Source organism: Homo sapiens, chromosome 16 (genome assembly GCF_000001405.40).
Source record: "Homo sapiens chromosome 16, GRCh38.p14 Primary Assembly".
Taxonomy (NCBI): Eukaryota; Metazoa; Chordata; class Mammalia; order Primates; family Hominidae; genus Homo; species Homo sapiens.
In genome coordinates this window covers 13,079,104-13,099,240 of record NC_000016.10, presented here as the reverse complement: position 1 = coordinate 13,099,240, position 20,137 = coordinate 13,079,104, and the positions used below count along the sequence as shown (strand labels likewise).

Genomic DNA, 20,137 nt, shown 5'->3' with positions numbered 1-20,137 from the left:
AAAGTGCCAGAGACTACATATTGTAAGCTTGTGAGCCTGTCATTGTCACAACTACTCACTTCTGTTGTAGCAGCATCAGCCATAGATGATCGGTCAGTGAATTGACATGGATGTGTTGCAGCAAAACGTTATTTGCAAAAACAGGCAGCAGCTGGATTTGGCCTGAAGGCCATAGCTTGCCAATGCCAGATCTAGAACAGTGCCCCACAGGCATTTAGTATTCAATAAATATTTGTTGAATAAATTCAGCAGCTTTTAATGTCAGCCCCACCTGTATACAATCCTTTTCTTTTAACTAATGACTCATCCCTTTATTTACTCTTCACAACCAGCCCATTTTGCAGATGAAGAAACCAAATCTCAGAGAGACAAAGGGGGTTGCCCAAGACCGCAGATCTAGGAAGAGATTGAGCCAGATTCAACAGAGCTGGGAGCCTCTCTGAGTCCAGAACCACCCAGCCTTTTTGCAATTTCATCTGACTCAACTCTGAGTTCCGTTCCTGGAGGCAGCAACAGCCACATGCACAGAGTGGATGGGAGCCTGCAGTTGCTCCTTAAGGAGGAATCTTTGGACATCCTGCCTCCTGCAGCCTCCAGAAACCACTCAAGTCCTTTGGGTTGATTCCAGAAGTCACTTTCTCCAGGCCTCCTTCCTGTCTTATTGTAGCCTGAAAGTGGCTCATGGGTTTTACAAAGAGAACCTCCCCCCTTTCTCACTTGCAGAGAACAAGATTCAGAAATTCCAAAGGCAAGAGGGAAAACACAGGGCCAGCAAGACTGAGAAAAGTGGTGACTCCCTGGGTTGCTGGGATCTTAATGGGTATATGGTAACACAGAACACCTAATACTGAAATAGAATTAAAGAAAAGAAGAGGAGCCATTAACTGTAAGAGCTGGCATTTATGGATGCAATAAAGGCCACAGTGAATCCCTGAATGGGATTCGTGGCAATCCAGCAGGGAGTGTATTTTTGCTCCATTTCTATGGATGAGGAAACCAAAGTTCAAAGAAGTTGTTGCTTGCCTGAGGCCCTAAGTGTCATAGCCAGGATCTGATCCCAGGATTTACATGCCTTATCAACATTAAGAGCAGGTACTCTGGAGTCAACTAACCCTGGTCCAAAACCTGGGACAGGTGACTTCATCTCTCTGACCCTCCGTTTCTTCTGCGAAATGGGGTGGTAACAGTGGTGCCAAATTAACAGGCTGTTGAAAGATTGTGCATACATAAAGCACCCGACACAGTGGTTCACACATAGTAAGTGCTCAGTTAATGTTGACTGTATTCTCATTAGTACTAGGGCTAGAATTAGTACTACTATGACTACTAGCTTGTTTGCTCTAACTCAGAATCACAGGATTTTCACCATTGGCCAGGACAACCTGGTGAAGTAGGATGCTGTCTATCATGACATTTTACTGTACTTACTTCTAAAACTCATTCCTGTCCACTCCCCATCACCCAGTGCTATTAAGCTGCACTCTATATAGGAATGACACTTCCGCCAAAGTCAAAGCTACTAAAGACTGCATGATCAGGCCAGGCATGGTGACTCCCACCTGTCATTCCAGCACTTTGGGAGGCCAAGGCAGGAGAATCACTTGAAGCCAGGAGTTCAAGCCCAGCCTGGATAACATAGTAAGACCCCATCTCTAAAAATAATTTATTTTGAAATAGCTGGGCATGATGGCACAAACCTGTAGTCCTAGCTACTTGGGAGACTGAGGCAGGGGGATCACTTGAGCTATCACTTGAGTGATAGCATCATTGTACTCCAGCCTGAGGGGCAAAGCAAAACCCCACTCAAAAAAAAAAAAATACTGATCAGACAATGCCACTATGATGTCGGGCATTCCACCGCGTGATGGCTCATCCCATAAAGTGCCTGCTGTCCACTTGGGTAGATGACCTGAGAGCACTATTCCAAGGGTCAAGGGTCCTGGGTTTAAGGCCAGATCTAACATCAACTCCCTGTGTGGCTTTGGGAAATTCCCTTCCCTTCCCTGGGCCTCAATTCCTCCCAATGTAACATGAAGGAGAGAAACTAGGTAGTCTCCAAGGACCATTGTGGGGTTCTGTATAGGGATTCACTCATTCACCCATTTAGTATTACTCAACAGTCATTCAACAAACACTTATCAAGTGTTGATTATATACCTAAGCCCTTAAGCCAGACACAGTCCCTGTCTTCATGGAGCTGCACTTCTAGTTGGGGAGAGAGAAAATAAATGAGTAAATAAATATGTGACTTGAGAGAGTGAGATGTGCCCTGAAGAGAAATGGAGCCCAGTAGGAATATAGTGTAGGGAACAGAGGGGTCACTCTAAAATAGGCGTCAGAGAATGGCCTGTCTGAGCAGGTGACAAGAAGAGGAGCCATCCATGAGTAAGTCTCAGGGAAGAGAGAGCTCCCAGTTGAAAAAATAGCACATCCAAAAGGCTGGGGTGAGAACAAGCTTTAGATGTTCACGAAACATCAAAAGTCCAAGAAGGTGGAACTGAGCGAGTAAGAAAGTCTACATCTAATAAAGGTTCAATGAATTAAACTTCCAAGATAGACTCTGCCTTGACTCCAAGAAGTTACTCATAGTAAGATTTGGGCACCGTGAAAGGCTTTTGGATAACTACAAGGCCACCAAATGGGCCCTTCCAATTCTACTCAAACATTTTCTCTGCCTATATCAACCTTCCCCATCTTCTCTACACTTAAGATTCAGCTTCAGCATGAGTCTTGCATCAGGATCCTTCCCTGAGCCCCCAGCCCCAGCTAGGTTGAATGCCTCCCTCTGTGCCCCACAAGAGCCTACATTTAACACATGGTAAATGATTATTGCTTTAACCACTTGGCTTCCCCACTAATCTATAAGCTTCTTGAGGGCAGAGATGATATGGCGTTTGTCTCTGCATTCTGTGTCGCAAGGCTTGGGTAAATGAGCTACCTAAGGGTAGATGAGGGCCTTGCCAAAGTACATGCTCAGTACATAATCCAGCTACCTTCTGTGTATTGAGTGTCTACTATAAACAAGGCCTACACTGAAAATTTTAAGTCAATCTCATTTAATCCTCTTAATCATCCTATGACATACATATGATTATCTGCGCTTCATAGACATAGAAATAGAGGCTTAAAGGAGTTAAGTGACTTGTTCATCGTTAACCAGCTAATACCCAGTGAAGCAGGGATTCAAACTCAAGTATTCTTGACTCCAGGGCTTTCACTCTTGACCACCAAAGTAGTGGTTCTCAAAATATGGCCCTTGGACCAGCAGCAACAGCATCACCTGGGAACTTACTACAACTGGAAATTCTCGGGCCCTGCCCCAGACATAAGGACTTGGAAATTCTAGGCAAACTGGCCAACAATCTGTGCTTTAAAAAGCTCTCCAAGTGATCCTGATGCATGCTCGCTCAAGTTTGAGAGCCATTGCGCTAGAGTTGATTGCCTTGCTGTATAAACCCATTCACTATTTATCGAGTATTCACAAGGTGCCTGATAGTATGTGAAATGCTGAGAGTACACTGGTGAGAAAAGATTGTCAACAGCCCCTGCCTTTATGGAACTCGTTGTGCAGTGTTTGTTGAATGAATGTGCTATCCTCCCATACTTGGAAACCCACAGCTAGAATTCAGTTAAATGAAGATGGTCTGGACTGTAGTCCTTTTCCTTCATATGTGGCAAATATTATTCTAAGAGTCATGGGAGCTAGAACAGTTCTGAGGAGGATACTGGAAGCCACCCCTAACCACCACCATTTCCCTTTTCGTTTTCCCTTCCCTAGCCCAGTGAGGTGGCCACACATGGGTATGGCCCCTCTAATCTGCCTTTTTTCACTCATTGCTTCTTCCCCATTTTGTTAAGATGTGCAACCTCTGCAGAATGCAGGGGATCTGCCAACACAGAAACAAAACAGCAAAGCTGACCACTCCCCAGCATCCTCAGCTGAGCTTCAAAGCACAAAAGCAGATTGCTAGACTGATGGCCCTGGGTGTCCCTAAAGCAGAGACAGGAATGAAAAGCATTTCAAGTAGACTAGACACCTGCCAATCTCCTTCTGAGAAACAAGCTCCAAATACACGTTGCCCACAAGTATGGCCAGGAACAACGATTGCTCAGAAAATTCTCTTCTTCTCTCTCACAGTTATCCCTGGGACCTGTAAACCATTTGACAGACCATTTAACCTATCAAGTTTTCTCTATCAAGGAGGAAGAAAATGCCTGATCACATCTAAAGAGGGAAGGAGAGGAGGAAACGGAAGAAATATGTATTTACTGAGGACCTACTGTTTGCTAGGCACTATAGTAGCTGCTTTACATATGTTATTGTTAATTTTTATAACACTTACACAGCTAAATTACTGTCTCTATTTGAAAACAGTAAACCAGGACTCAGAGAGGTTAAGTGAATTGCCCAAGGATACACAGCTAGTAAGAAGCAAAACTTGAATTCAACCCCAGGTCTGCTTAACCATAAAGGCCATGCCCTTGTGGACTATATAACACTTTCTTCCTCATTTTACCCAAAACAAAGTCTACAGGCCAATCAGGAGACAGGTCTAGAAGAGTCCTTCAATGGGGAAAATATATTTTATCCCTGACTTCGAAAGTATAAATCTCATTTAATAGAAGAAACAGTATGTGTGGTATTGACACTGAGACAAAATGGAATTAAAGTTGGCTTTCCCTCCGACTTTGAGAAAATATTCAGAGTAAGTTTTTCTATTTTAGGCACAGTTACAACCGGAGCAGTCAAAGTGAATTAGTTTGGGGGATTTTTTTTTTATTTTTGCCTAGTCATCTGTAAACAAGATGTATTAAAATAATTAAATGCAAATTCGGTAATTTCCGCAACATTTAACTCAAAAATAGCAGATTTTATAAGAATGAGTATATTTAGCAATACATTGGCTCTTAGCTTACTTTTGTCTAATGGCCTATTTCAAAGTCATCTTCCAAGGATGGGAAGTTGCCTGTTTTGTCAACTGTTTTATGCAGTTTCGAGGTGGGGAGAAAAACTGCCTCCTCTACCCACAACTCGTATCAGAGGAGCACGGTTGGGAAATTTGTCATACTTTACCTTATCTCCTTTCTTGTGACAATGACAATCTTTTCTTTCCCAACGTCTTTTCTGCTAGCACAGTGGCAAAGGACAAAGAGAGAATGGAAAAGTACCAAGACACCGGGACCCCAGCAGCCTCCTTGGTATAGGAGACCTGTGAAAGGGCCAGCTTCTGTTGGGACCTACCTTCAGTGGGGGTGGCTGGGACGCAGGCAGAATGGTGGGAAAGGCAGACAAGGAGTAAGGAGCCCACAGAAGGGGAGGGATGAGCCACACCTATTTAAATCCTATGGTGCCTCCCTTCTGCCAGAGGAGCGAATGTCTGAGTCAGCAACAATTGCATCTGAACTAGTTTGCCCTGTCACTATTTATAGGCCCCGCAGTGCTGTGTGGTGTACTTAGAGAGGCCCTTCTCAGTAAAGACACAAACGGATGCAAAGGCAGAGATTGGGGAGGTCAACGAAGCGAAATACCAGACTCCTGAGGAAATCCTCAAAGCACATGTGGGCGCCTGGACAAAAATCCAGGGCCGAACTGCAGCACCAGTTACTAAAGGGAAACGAGACTTTTCCCAGAGACCTGGCTTTCTCTGGGATTTTGCTGATTTATAATCAGCCCCACTCCCCCCACCTCTCATATGCACATGATACCTTGAATTTCAATAGTTAAGTCACTTCTTGCAGGTCCTTATCTGGAAATCCATGACAGCCAGTGTTCATGAAAACTCCTCTTGTATGGACCCTTTGTGCATTATGCAGTTAATCCCATCTAAATCCCTGCAAGATAAGTCTTATCATCAATCCCACTTTATAGATGAACAAACTGAGGCTCAAAGATGGACAGCAACTGGACCAAGATCACCAACTAGTAAGTGGCAGAGATGGGCTTTTCTTAACCCAACAGTTATAGTGACAGGCAGGATCTACGATAGAAGTTTCTCTCATCTAAGTCATCTTGTCACCCTAGGTTGAAGTAAAGCCCTGGGCCAAGACTCAGAACAAGAGGGGTGCAGCCACTTGAACTGGCTGCCCCATGTTCCTCACCCTTTCCAACTCCTCTGCTGCCAACAGAACCCAGGACTCTATGCCCCCGGGAAACTTCAAAGCTATATTCCTTTCCATACCAGATCAGTATTTCCACAAATGGGTTTTGGTGTCAAAAAGTGTTAGGTTCATATCACATCTCTAATGGTCATATAATGTTTAAAAGTCTGATTCTCAATTACGGCTTTCCAAGATGGCCGAATAGGAACAGCTCTGGTCTGCAGCTCCCAGCATGACAGACGCAGAAGATGGGTGATTTCTGCATTTCCAACTGAGGTACCTGGTTCGTCTCACTGGGACTGGTCAGACAGTGGGTGGAGACCAAGGAGGGCAAGCTGAAGCAGGGCGGAGCGTCACCTCACCCAAGAAGCACAAGGGGTTGGGGGATTTCCCTCTCCTAGCCAAGGGAAGCCACAACAGACTACCTGGAAAAACGGGACACTCCCTGCCCAAATACTGTGCTTTTCCCAAGGTCTTAGCAACTGGCAGACAAGGTGATTCTCTCCTGTGCCTGGCTTGGCAGGTCCCATGCCCATGGAGCCTTGCTCAATGCTAGCGCAGCCGTCTGAGATCGAAATGTGAGGTGGCAGCCTGGCTGGGAGAGAGGCGTCCACAATTGCTGAGGCTTGAGTAGGTAAACAAAGTGGCCAGGAAGCTCGAACTGGACGGAGCCCACCACAGCTCAACAAGGCCTACTGCCTCTAGATTCCACCTCTGTGGGCAGGGCATAGCTGAACAAAAGGCAGCAGACAACTTCTGCAGACTTAAACATCCCTGTCTGACAGCTCTGAAGAGAGCAGTGGTTCTCCAGCATGGAGTTTGAGCTCTGAGAACAGACAGACTGCATCCTCAAGTGGGTCCCCGACTCCCATGTAGCCTAACTGGGAGACACCTCCCAGCAGGGGCCAACAGACACCTCATATAGGTGGCTGCCCCTCTCGGACGAAGCTTCCAGAGTAAGGATCAGGCAGCAATATTTGCTGTTCTGCAATATTTGCTGTTCTTCAGCCTCTGGTGGTGATACCCAGGCAAACAGGGTCTGGAGTGGAATTCCAGCAAACTCCAACAGACCTGCAGCTGAGGGACCTGACTGTTAGAAGGAAACTAACAAACTGAAAGGAATAGCATCAACATCAACAAAAAGGTCATCTACACCAGAACCCCATCTGTAGGTCACCAACATCAAAGACCAAAGGTAGGTAAAACCACATAGATGGGGAGAAACCAGAGCAGAAAAGCTGAAAATTCTAAAAACCAGAGCGCCTCTTCTCCTCCAAAGGATCGCAGTTCCTAGCGAGCAACGGAACAAAGCTGGATGGAGAATGACTTTGACAAGTTGACAGAAGTAGGCTTCAGAAGGTCGGTAGTAACAAACTTCTCCGAGCTAAAGGAGGATGTGTGAACCCATTGCAAGGAAGCTAAAAACCTTGAAAAAAGATTAGACGAATGGCTAACTAGAATAAACAGTGTAGAGAAGACTTTAAATAACCTGATGGAGCTGAAAACCATGGCATGAGAACTTCGTGACACATGCACAAGCTTCAGTAGCTGATTCGATCAAGTGGAAGAAAGGGTATCAGTGATTGAAGATCAAATTAATGAAATAAAGTGAGAAGAGAAGTTTAGAGAAAAAATTGTAAAAAGAAATGAACAAAGCCTCCAAGGAATATGGGACTACATGAAAAGATCAAATCTACATTTGATTGGCATACCTGAAAGTGATGGGGAGAATGCAACCAAGTTGGAAAACACTCTTCAGGATATTATCCAGGAGAACTCCCCCAACCTAGCAAGGCAGGCCAACATTCAAATTCAGGAAATACAAAGAACACCACAAAGATACTCGTCGAGAAGAGCAACCCCAAGACACATAATTGTCAGATTCACCAAGGTTGAAATGAAGGAAAAAGTGTTAAGGGCAGCCAGAGAGAAAGGTCGAGTTACCCACAAAGGGAAGCCCATCAGACTAACAGTGGATCTCTCAGCAGAAACCGTGCAAGCCAGAAGAGAGTGGGGGCCAATATTCAACATTCTTAAAGAAAAGAATTTTCAACCCAGAATTTTATATCCAGCCAAACTAAGCTTCATAAATGAAGGAGAAATAAAATCCTTTACAGACAAGCCAATGCTCAGAGATTTTGTCACCACCAGGCCTGCCTTACAAGGGTTTTGAAGGAAGCACTAAATAAACATGGAAAGAAACAACTGGTACCAGCCACTGCAAAAACATGCCAAGTTGTAAAGACCATCAATGCTATGAAGAAACTGCATCAATTAACAGGCAAAACAACCAGCGAACATCATAATGACAGGATCAAATTCACACATAACAATATTAACCTTAAACGTAAATGGGCTAAATGCCCCAATTAAAAGACACAGACTTGGACAAAGAATCAAGACCCATCTGTGTGCTGTATTCAAGAGACCCATTTCACGTGCAACGATGCACATAGGCTCAAAATAGAGGGGTGGAAGAAGATCTATCAAGCAAATGGAAAGCAAAAAAACAGCAGGAGTTGCAATCCTAGCCTCTCATAAAACAGACTTTAAACCAACAAAGATCAAAAGAGACAAAAAGACCATTACATAATGGTAAAGGGATCAATTAAACAAGAAGAGCTAACTATCCTAAATATATATGCACCCAATACAGGAGCACCCAGATTCATAAAGCAAGTCCTTAGAGACCTACAAAGAGATGTCGACTCCCACATAATAATAATGGGAGACTTTAACACCCCACTGTCAATATTAGACAGATCAGTGAGACAGAAGGTTAACGAGGATATCCAGGACCTGAACTCAGCTCTGCAAAAAGGAGACCTAACAGATATCTACAGAACTCTCCACACCAAATCAACAGAATATACCTTCTTCTCAGCATCACATTGCACTTATTCTAAAATTGACCACATAATTGGAAGTAAAGCACTCCTTAGCAACTGTAAAAGAACAGAAATCACAAAAAACTGTCTCTCAGACCACAGTGCAATCAAATTAGAACTCAGAATAAAGAAACTCACTCAAAACTGCACAACTACATGGAAACTGAACAACTTGCTCCTGAATGACTACTGGGTAAATAATGAAATGAAGGCAGAAATAAAGATGTTCTTTGAAACCAATGAGAACAAAGACACAATGCACCAGAATCTCTGGGACACATTTGAAGCAGTGTGTAGAGGGAAATTTATTGCACTAAATGCCCACAAGAGAAAGCAGGAAAGACCTAAAATTGACACCATAACATCACAATGAAAAGAACTAGAGAAGCAAGAGCAAACAAATTTAAAAGCTAGCAGAAGGCAAGAAATAATTAAGATCAGAGCAGAACTGAAAGAGATAGACACACAAAAAACACTTCAAAAAATCAATGAATCCAGGAGCTGGTTTTTTGGAAAGATCAACAAAATTGATAGACCACTAGCAAGACTAATAAAGAAGAAAAGAGAGAAAAATAAAATAGATGCAATAAAAAATGATAAAGGGGATATCACCACTGATCCCACAGAAATACAAACTACCATCAGAGAATACTATAAACATCTCTATGCAAATAAACTAGAAAATCTAGAAGAAATGGATAAATTCCTTGACACATACACTCTCCCAAGACTAAACTAGGAAGAAGTTGAATTTCTGAATAGACCAATAACAGGCTCTGTAATTGAGGCAATAATTAATAGCCTACCAACCAAAAAAAGTCCAGGACCAGATGGATTCACAGCCGAATTCTACCAGAGGTACAAAGAGGAGCTGGTACCATTCCTTCGGAAAGTACTCCAGTCAATAGAAAAAGAGGGAATCCTCCCTAACTCATTTTATGAGGCCACCATCATCCTGATACCAAAGCCTGGCAGAGACACAACAAAAAAAGAGAATTTTAGACCAATATCCCTGATGAACATCAATGCGTAAATCCTCAATAAAATACTGGCAAACCAAATTCAGCAGCACATCAAAAAGCTTATCCACCATGATCTTCATCCCTGGGATACAAGGCTGGTTCAACACACGCAAATCAATAAACGTAATCCATCATATCAACAGAACCAAAGACAAAAACCACATGATTATCTTAACAAATGCAGAAAAGGCCTTCAACAAAATTCAAGTCCTTCATGCTAAAATCTCTCAATAAACTAGGTACTGATGGAACGTATCTCAAAATAATAAGAGCTATTTAAGACAAACCCACAGCCAATATCATACTGAATGGGCAAAAAGTGGAAGCATTCCCTTTGAAAACTGGCACAAGGCAAGAATGCCCTCTCTCACCACTGCTATTCAACATAGTGTTGGAAGTTCTGGCCAGGGCAATCAGGCAAGAGAAAGAAATAAAGGATATTCAATTAGGAAATGAAGAAGTCAAATTGTCCCTGTTTGCAGATGACATGATTGTATATTTAGAAAACCCCATCATCTCAGCCCAAAATCTCCTTAAGCTGATAGGCAACTTTAGCAAAGTCTCAGGATACAAAATCAATGTGCAAAAATCACAAGCATTCCTATACACCATTAACAGACAGACAACCAAATCATGAGTGAACTCCCATTCACAACTGCTACAAAGAGAATAAAATACCTAGGAATCCAACTTACAAGGGATGTGAAGGACCTCTTCAAGGAGAACTACAAACCACTGCTCAGCGAAATAAAGGAGGACACAAACAAATGGAAGAATATTCCAAGCTCATGGATAGGAAGAATCAATATCGTGAAAATGGCCATATTGCCCAAGGTAATTTATAGATTAAATGCCGTCCCCATCAAGCTACCAATGACTTTCTTCACAGAATTGGAAAAAACTACACATATGGAACCACAAAAGAGCCTGCATTCCCAAGACAATCCTAAGCAAAAAGAACAAAGCTGGAGGCATCATGCTACCTGACTTCAAACTATACTACAAGGCCACAGTAACCAAAACAGCATGGTACTGGTAACAAAACAGATATATAGACCAATGGAACAGAACAGAGGCCTCAGAAATAATGCCACACATCTACAACCATCTGATCTTTGATGAACCTGACAAAAACAAGAAATGGGGAAAGGATTTCCTATTTAATAAATGATACTGCGAAAACTGGCTAGCCATATGTAGAAAGCTGAAACTGGATCCCTTCCTTACACCTTATACAAAAATTAATTCAAGATGGATTAAAGACTTAAATGTTAGACCTAAAACCATAAAAATCCTAGAAGAAAACCTAGGCAATACCATTCAGGACATAGGCATGGGCAAGGGCTTCATAACTAAAACACCAAAAGCAATGGCAACAAAAGCCAAAATAGACAAATGGGATCTAATTAAAGAGCTTCTGCACAGCAAAAGAAACTACCATCAGAGTGAACAGGCAACCTACAGAATGGGAGAAAATTTTTGCAATCTACCCATCTGACAAAGGGCTAATATCCAGAATCTACAAAGAACTCAAACAAATTTACAAGAAATAAACAAACAACCCCATCAAAAAGTGGGCAAAGGATATGAACAGACACTTCCCAAAAGAAGACGTCTATGCAGCCAACAGACACATGAAAAAATGCTCATCATCACTGATCATCAGAGAAATGCAAATCAAAACCACAATGAGATACCATCTCACACCATTTAGAATGGCGATCATTAAAAAGTCAGGAAACAACAGATGCTGGAGAGGATGTGGAGAAACAGGAATGCTTTTACACTGCTGGTGGGAGTGTAAATTGGTTCAACCATTGTGGAAGACAGTGTGGCGATTCCTCAAGGATCTAGAACTAGAATTACCATTTGACCTAGCAATCCCATTACTGGGTATATACCCAAAGGATTATAAATCATGCTACTATAGACACACGCACACGTATGTTTATTGCGGCACTATTCACAATAGCAAAGACTTGGAACCAACCCAAATGTCCATCAATGATAGACTGCATTAAGAAAATGTGGCACGTATACACCATGGAATACCATGCAGCCAAAAAAAAAAAAAAAAAAAAAAAGACGAGTTCATGTCCTTTGCGGGGACATGGATGAAGCTGGAAACCATGATTCTCAGCAAACTATCACAAGGACAGAAAACCAAACACCGCATGTTCTCACTCATAGGTGGGAATTGAACAATGAGATCACTTGGACACAGGGCGGGGAACATCACACACCGGGGCCTGTTGGGGGGTGGGGGGCTTGGGGAGGGATAGCATTAGGAGAAATACCTAATGTAAATGATAAGTTGATGGGTGCGGCAAACCAACATGGCACATGTGCCCTAGAACTTAAAGTATAATAATAATAAAAAAGAAAACAGATGAAATAAATTTTAAAAAAATAAAAAATAAAAGTCTGGTTCTTAGAAAAACAAAATCTTCCTTATAATGTATTAGAATCTTTCTCTCTCCTGCTTCCATCCATTGGTGGTTGTTTTCCTCAGAAGGCAAGCATACATCTCTTTGCCTTGACATGTTCTTTTTCTCAATTTTGAAATACAAATATCCTAAATTTTCTTCTAATCCATTTCCCTGTCTCCATTTTCACTAGTACCATTTTGGCCCAAGACACCACAATCATCTCTCACCTATACAACTGAAGCATGTTTCTTATCTACTCTGGACTTCTTCCAATCCATTCTCAAGTCTCCTTTTTTTGCATCCTGGTCTATCTTTCCTAATTTCCTCACATCTGTCTTTCAATTTACTACCTCTTTCTGAAGCTATATCTGATTTGTTGTTTAACTCTGAAATTGACTATTTAATTTCAATGACAATATTCTTCTTCTTTTTTTTTTTTTTTTTTTTTTGAGATGGAATCTTGCTTTGTCATCAGGCTGGAGTGCAGTGGCATGATCTCGGCTCACTGCAACCTCTGCCTCCCGGGTTCAAGCAATTCTCCTGCCTCAGCCTCCCAAGCCACGGAGACTACAGGCACATGCCACCATGCCCAGCTAATTTTTGTATTTTAGTAGAGACAGGGTTTCATCATGTTGGCCAGGATGGTCTCAATCTCTTGACCTCATGATCTGCCCGCCTCGGCCTCCCAAAGTGCTGGGATTACAGGCGTGAGCCACTGTGACAGGCCAATGACAATATAATTGATTTCTATAAATTTTAGTTAGCTTTAAAAACAATCTTCCTGTTTTTTTCTTTAAACAATACTCTTGTGTTTTCATTATGGCCTCTCATTCTTTTTTAAAAAAATTCTCTTTGATCATTTTAAACAAACTTATTTTATTGTTTCTTTCATTTGGTTCCTTTGTTTCAAGTTCTTGAGACATTACTACTTATTGTGTGTGCTAACTTTCCTTCATGTGAGATGCCTAATTACCTGGATTATAATTTTTTATTAGAACCTTCAACAGAGGTTCCTTTATTCTGTAAAAGTCCCCTGAGTCAAGGGATATAGAAATAAGACTGCGAAGGTAGCTTGTTCACCAGGTGTTTTTTTAGCCCTAGATTAGATCACACCTGAATTTCTCACATTAGAATTCCTACACCCAGGCGGTGCACCTACACATAACGTAGACTTGACCTTTTACTTTCTCACCAGAGATTTTCTTTTATCAGCCTTGAACCCTGGGCAGGCGACAACCTTCCTTATAGCTTCTTTGGATATGTCAACAGAGTTTTTCTAGCCCTTCATAAAACAGGCGAAGTCCTAGCCTTATTTTAGGAATGTCAGTTGCAGCTGTACATTTCACACTGGCTCTAGGCCATGTTACCTGTCTCTTGATGAGACATCGGCTTTTATCAACACAAGCCTTTATGTTTTAGAACCTATATCTATGTTGGAGCTCTTCCTTTTTTTTTTGTCTAATCCTTTAGACAAAATACTATTAGCTCTTCCTTAATAATTATTTATCTTTCTTTCTTTTGGAGTATAGGTATCGACATAGACATAGATATATAGATATATAGACATAGATATAGAGAAATAGTCTCAACTAGGTCTAAGTGTTTTGAAGAAAAAGAGGGCCATGCCAGTTGAGTCTGCAATGCTGCCAGTTGAGTCCACCATATTGGTAAGGATATCCTTCTCAATCCACCACAATCAGAATGATACTTCTACAACACAAGTCTTGTCCTATTACCTGCCCCACAAACACACACATTTGGGACACCTTCCTGCTTACCTTCACTTTATGTCTTCCCTTTTATTAAAGAACTGAATCTCCATCCTCATCTCCAATCAAACCCATTCTCACCATGATCTCCAGCCACCCTGGTCTTTCTCAAATAAATTGGCCTCAAACAAAACCTTCCCCCCTTGGAAATCATTCATAAGCTGTTCCGTCTGCCTGGAATGTTCTTCCAGCCCCTCCCTCAACCCCTTTTTCTCATTAAGTTCTCTTCATTCTTTATATCTCCATTTGTTGTTTAAGCCAGTCTGTCTATGGTCTATGGTCTATGGTCTAAGCTTAAGAGAAAAGCTTTCTGGCCCCAAATGAGGTCAGGTCCCTCAGTCATATGTTCACACAACATCCCGAACCTCTTCATAGCACGTACCATCATTGTCATTTAAATCCCATGAAGGGTAGTTTAGTTAATTATTGCCTTTCCCACTGGACTGTAACTCCAGAAAGAGGAACCTGTCTGGAGTGTGCAGTGCTACACCCCCACCACCTAGTACAATAAATATTTGTCAAGTAAATGCAAGATTTCTCTTTCCAGCCCTGTCTGTCATTCTCACTCTAAGGCACCTGAGCTCACTGCATTTTCCCACAAGCCTCTCCTGAAGCAAGAATACTGTTGTCTGGAAGGTTTATTCACTGCCTGATCAAGATTTGTTCTAAGCAGCAGGGAGGTCATTGAGTTCATGGGAACATATTTCCACAAAGCAACAGCAGCTCCCTTCATTGCCTGTTTTCAAAAAGAAGCAGCAGAATGAGATTTGTGGGGTTCAAAGGTGGATATGATTATGCAGGTTTGGTCTTGGGTCTGCCTGACTCTCTCTGTGAACTTGGATTGCTTGGTCTTTTCTGGCCCTCAGGTTCCTTGTTTTTAAAATAAAGGGCTGGGCAGATAATTTATAAGAAACTAGCCTTTTTTCTTTTTTTTTAGAAAACTATGATCATATGAATAACCTCACTGCAAGAGGCAAGAAATTTGCCTCCTCATTTCTTCTCTAATGCCTGCTAGCAGTTTGACCTTGGGCAAGTTGCCTGATCTCTCGACTTCAGTTCTCCGGTCTATAAACTAGAGTTAATCCCAAATCCTGCCTCCCTCCCGCTTTGAAACCAGATTGTATCCATCATGGTGTGGTGGATACCGTTGGTGCCCTGCCCAGATTCTTTTCACAGCAGGTGTCCCCATCCCCCAGAGGCTGTGAATGATGATTGCTAATGGCTCACAGCCACCTTCGTCTATGGAAAATTGGCTCTAGCTGAATGGGAGCTACCTTGCCAATAAGGTTTCTTTCCCCACCCCCTGAAGCAGCCCATAGACAAGGCAGCCCATAGTCAATGACAAACACAAGCAGCCCATAGTCAATGACTAACATGAGAATATGGAAGGCCAGACCCTCGCCTCAAAGTGGAACCAGCTCTGAGATGCAATTGATGCTTAGGGCTTCGCATGGAATCAGGCTGAAGAATAGCTGACCTAGCTGGTCTCCTTTCCCTGCCACATCCTTGCTGAGTTCCTTGCCCTGCACAATCTTGCTTTCCTCACTACCCTTCTCTGGAAAGTGTCCCTCTATAAATCACTTGCACAAGAATCCCCATCTCAAACTCTGCTTCTAGGGAATCCAACCTAAGATGCAAAGTGAAGCCCTCTTGTTTTGCATACATCATCTCATGGAACGCCTACAACTATTCGCACAATGATGCACTTCTATGATCATTGTATAGAGATGACGCATGAGACCATGAGAAGTTGAGCAACTTGTTCAAGCCTGAATCTTAAAAATGTCTCCATCCTGTTGGAGTAGCCATCCAGCCCCATGGAGTAGCCACGAACTGCCAGGAGAAACAGAGAAGGAGAAATAGTGTCTGCTTCTCCTCAAGTTCCTCCTTTGCTAGTCCTCTGGTGACCCCACTGTTGGCTGCCCCTCCCCTCTATCCACCAGCACTAGGGGAGCACAGGCTTACTTGGCACATCAGTTCCCAGCTAAGCTGGGTGCACAAACACACATGGCAGTGGCTGCTAATGGGGCAAAACTCCAGGCAAACCTGGAGAAGACAGCCAGTGGAAAAGTTGGCCCAAACCCCAATTTCTACATCAAAAGGCAATGAAGGAGGTGATGGACTCTCTTAAGAAGGAAAGGGTTTTCTCTACAATTTGCACCTTGGTCACCTCTGGATGGGATGAACTTTCCATCTTTTCCTTATTCCTATTTTATTTAAGGAGTGGCTCTTGGGCAAGAGACTTCAGCCCCCCACCCACACATGTACAAACTACCATTGCAAAGAGTACTTTCATTGCCTTTCCAGTATCCATTCTCCCCATTCCTTTCAATCATAATCTGCTTCTCATTTGGGGAACTTACCTGTACACCAATCTTAGCCATATGGTTTAGACGGGACTGATCTTCCCCTTGGTTCTAAGGATTGACCTTCCTGGCATCTCCCAGACACTGATCCCATTCAAGCCAATGAGAGAGAAAGAGAAAGAGAGAGAATGCCGGGACATGAGAAGGAGGTACCTGCAGAGACACTCTCTCTTCTGTGAACGGGATGTGCTGAAGGTGGAAATTGTGCAGCTGCTGCAGCTGTTTTCAGACCAGAAGAAAAGAGCATAGAGCTACGATGACCCACCAAGAGGTGCCCGAGGATGGAATGAAAAGGCAAAGAGAGAGGAACTCAGGTCTTTAAACTACTAGATTAAGCCCCACATGAACTGGGCATCATAACTTGATTTTCCTGTTGCTTTAGTCAATAAGTTGCATAAATTATTTAAGCCAGAATGTTTTGCATTTTCTTATTGTATACAATGCAAAAAGCCTTGCATGATATGTCTCTATTCTGCGTTCTCAAGGGAGTTAAACACTTCTGGTTAATACCTCACACTGCTTCAAATAATTCACACCCTGTAAGCTTCACTGTCCTTTTATTTCCCCTTTGGGGGGTTCTGTTGTTGTTGTAGTCGTTGTTGCCTTAGCAGTTACTTAATGAGTTGGCGGTAACTCCCAAGTAAGGTGAAATATTGAAAAGATAATTAGTGCAGCTCATGTCTCCACTTACATTCCCAATTCTGAATCTAGATGAGGGGCAGTAAATTGTGCCACACCACCACCATCACTACCACACAAACACACACACACACGCTAAATCTAGTTGATCAGTAGAAACCTTTTTTTTTTTTTTTTGAGATGGAGTCTCGCTCTATCACCCAGGTTGGAGTGCAGTGGCGCAATCTTGCCTCACTGCAACCTCTGCCTCCCGGGTTCAAGCAGTTCTCTGCCTCAGCCTCCTGAGTAGCTGGGATTACAGGTGCCCACCACCATGCCCAGCTAATAAAAACCCTCTAAAGTGCTGTGTTGAGAAATATCCTGAGATCCATTCCTGCCTAGGAGGAGACAAGCGCTCTGATTATCTGGTGATATACACCATAGATGTGGAATCACGGGTGGAGGAGGAGGGAATGCACACATTGGCTACCTCGGATCAAAAAAAAAAAAATACCTTGAAGGCTTGCCACAATGTCTAACTTCCCTTGCAGCCAGCAAGTCTTTCCTCATGTTCTACCTAAATAATTTATAATGCAATTTCAGCCCAGTTTCCCTTGGCCTATTCACAGTAGCCGTGAGGACTGGCTTGTCAGCCTCGCCTGACCCTTTTACATCCATGATAAAGAGTGCTATAAAGTTGTCTTTGCCATCTCATCATCTTCCCGTGCTAAATGATCCCTTCCCACAGCTTTGGGTCTCAATCTAGACCAGGCACTCCCTCTCCATACAAAATGACTGAAAAGTCCAGATCACAAAGAATGCCTGCGTTTTGGAAAACACATTTTCTATCCATCCCTAGGTACAGCAAAAACTTCTAAATTAAATAAAATGAGACTAAGAATGGTTTTGAAAACCCCAATTCTCCATCATTTAGGGCTATGATTTGAATGTTTTTGTATCTCTCCGAATTCATATGTTGAAGCTAATTCCCAATGTGATGGTATTTGGAGGTGGTGCTTTGGGGAGGTAATTAGGTAATGAGGGTGGAGCCCTCATGAGTGAGATTATAAGAAGAGACATGAGAGAGATTACCTCTCTCTTGGCCATGTGAGGATACAGTGACAAAGCCACCATCTGCAAACCAGGAAGCCAGTCCCCACCAGATACCATATCTGCAGGCACTTCGTCCTTCGACTTCCCAGTCTCCAGAGCTGTGAGAAATAAATATTTGTTGTTTAAGCCACTCCGTCTATGGTCTGTGGTGACTAACACACATAGTAACAACCTTCTTCCACAGCATGGCTATTTTATGTCTCCAGTGACAGTCAATAGCCAGCAAAAGTTGGGCATTAATCACTGCAAAGCATTATTCACTAGGAATTCTGGTAAATGATAACTAAAGAAAAGGAGTTCCCACACCTACAAACACACCATCTCCTCAGTCCTCTCAATCCTGCTCTTCTTTTAGGAAATTTGCTCTCCTCCAATGTCTGTGGTCTTGGTGAAGCTAGAAATTATCAAGTCTCATTCTCCCTTACCCATGAAGGGGCAGACACAGGATCCACACTAGACCAATGGGACACTTCTTGGGACTTTACATCTTAAATGAAACTAGGCTAAGATAAAAATTGGAGCTGACCAAGTGGTGGTGTTTTTTACTTATTTATTTATTTTTTTGAGACGGAGTCTCACTCTATCGCCCAGGCTGAAGTGCAGTGGCGCAATCTAGGCTCACTGCAAGCTCCACCTCCCGGGTTCATGCCATTCTCCTGCGTCAGCCTCCCAAGTAGCTGGGATTACAGGCGCCCACCACCACGCCCAGCTAATTTTTTGTATTTTTAGTAGAGATGGGGTTTCACCATGTTAGCCAGGATGGTCTCAATCTCCTGACCTCGTGATCCTCCTGCCTCGGCCTCCCAAAGTGCTGGGATTACAGGCGTGAGCCACTTCGCCCGGCTGAGTGGTGGTGTGTTTACAAGATGGTCCAATAATCCTGCTTTCTAGACGCCTAAAATTTCCCTGGTTTCTGGATCCCCCGGCCTTCCCTTCTCAAAGGCATTCAATATATTTTGATTTCCTTCATGCTAGGAAAGGTTGGTTTCTGCTGCTTGCATCAACGAACACTAATGTGTAGTGTTAACACCACAAGAAGGTGTTTCCTGGGTTTTTTAAACCATAATTATATGTTAAAAAAACAATCATTTCACACTTTTGCTGGCATTACATAAGAGTTTTGTCCCAGAAATCAATGGCAAAAATTCTCCATGTATAAACTGAACAATGTCATGACAATAGAATTTTTGTCAAGGAACCCGAGTAATCTGAAATTGCTTTTGTGATGTTGATCTAATGTCTCATTAAAATTAGGCAAATCAAGGGGAATGCAAATGCCATCAAACAGAGAGCATTGTCAGGAGAAAATGGATCTTCCAGGAGAAATGCGTTGTTTATAGGGTGTTTATGATTGGCACAAGCAGCCTCCTCTTGTTAAAGCACTTTTTTGGGGTGGGAAAAATGAGTGTAATTTGCTAATTGCACAGCGCAAATCACTTAACAGTATAATGGGTTTCATGTTGTCATTTTTAATGGCCTACCTTTTTCTCTGTGCTTCTTTCATCATTCTAGAATGCTAACAACAAAAACAATCATATATAGTAAAAGCTTATGATAGGTAAGACACTGTACTAAGAACTTTACCTGCATTATCTGAATCCTTCCTCATAAGAACACAGGAAGTAGATTCTGTCATCATCCATGTTTTCCCAGATAAGAAAATGGAAGCTTGGTGAGAAGTAATTCCAAGTGGGCAAAGCTTGTAAGATACACAGGTGGACTCTAGATCCTGTAACCCTAACTACATATCATGGCATTGATTGTGTCTTCTACGTGCCAAGGGCTGTGCTCGGCATTTCACATAGGTTCCATGCCATGTTTCACCCTCACCAC

General features: G+C 42.6%; 1 protein-coding gene across 6 annotated transcripts in view, besides 1 other annotated feature; it reads right to left on the bottom strand.

Moving 5' to 3' along the window:
* The window catches only part of SHISA9 (shisa family member 9), a 661,420-nt gene that overhangs the window by 463,777 nt on the left and 177,506 nt on the right, over positions 1–20,137 (bottom strand). The window lies entirely within an intron of this gene.
* Positions 6,540–6,699: a silencer, noted in NCBI's record as "fragment chr16:13186399-13186558 (GRCh37/hg19 assembly coordinates)". NCBI's record gives its function as "represses an EF-1alpha promoter that drives an FKBP-Casp9 reporter gene in an ReSE screen in K562 erythroleukemia cells {active_cell/tissue: K562}" and the evidence as "EXISTENCE:reporter gene assay evidence [ECO:0000049][PMID:32094911]".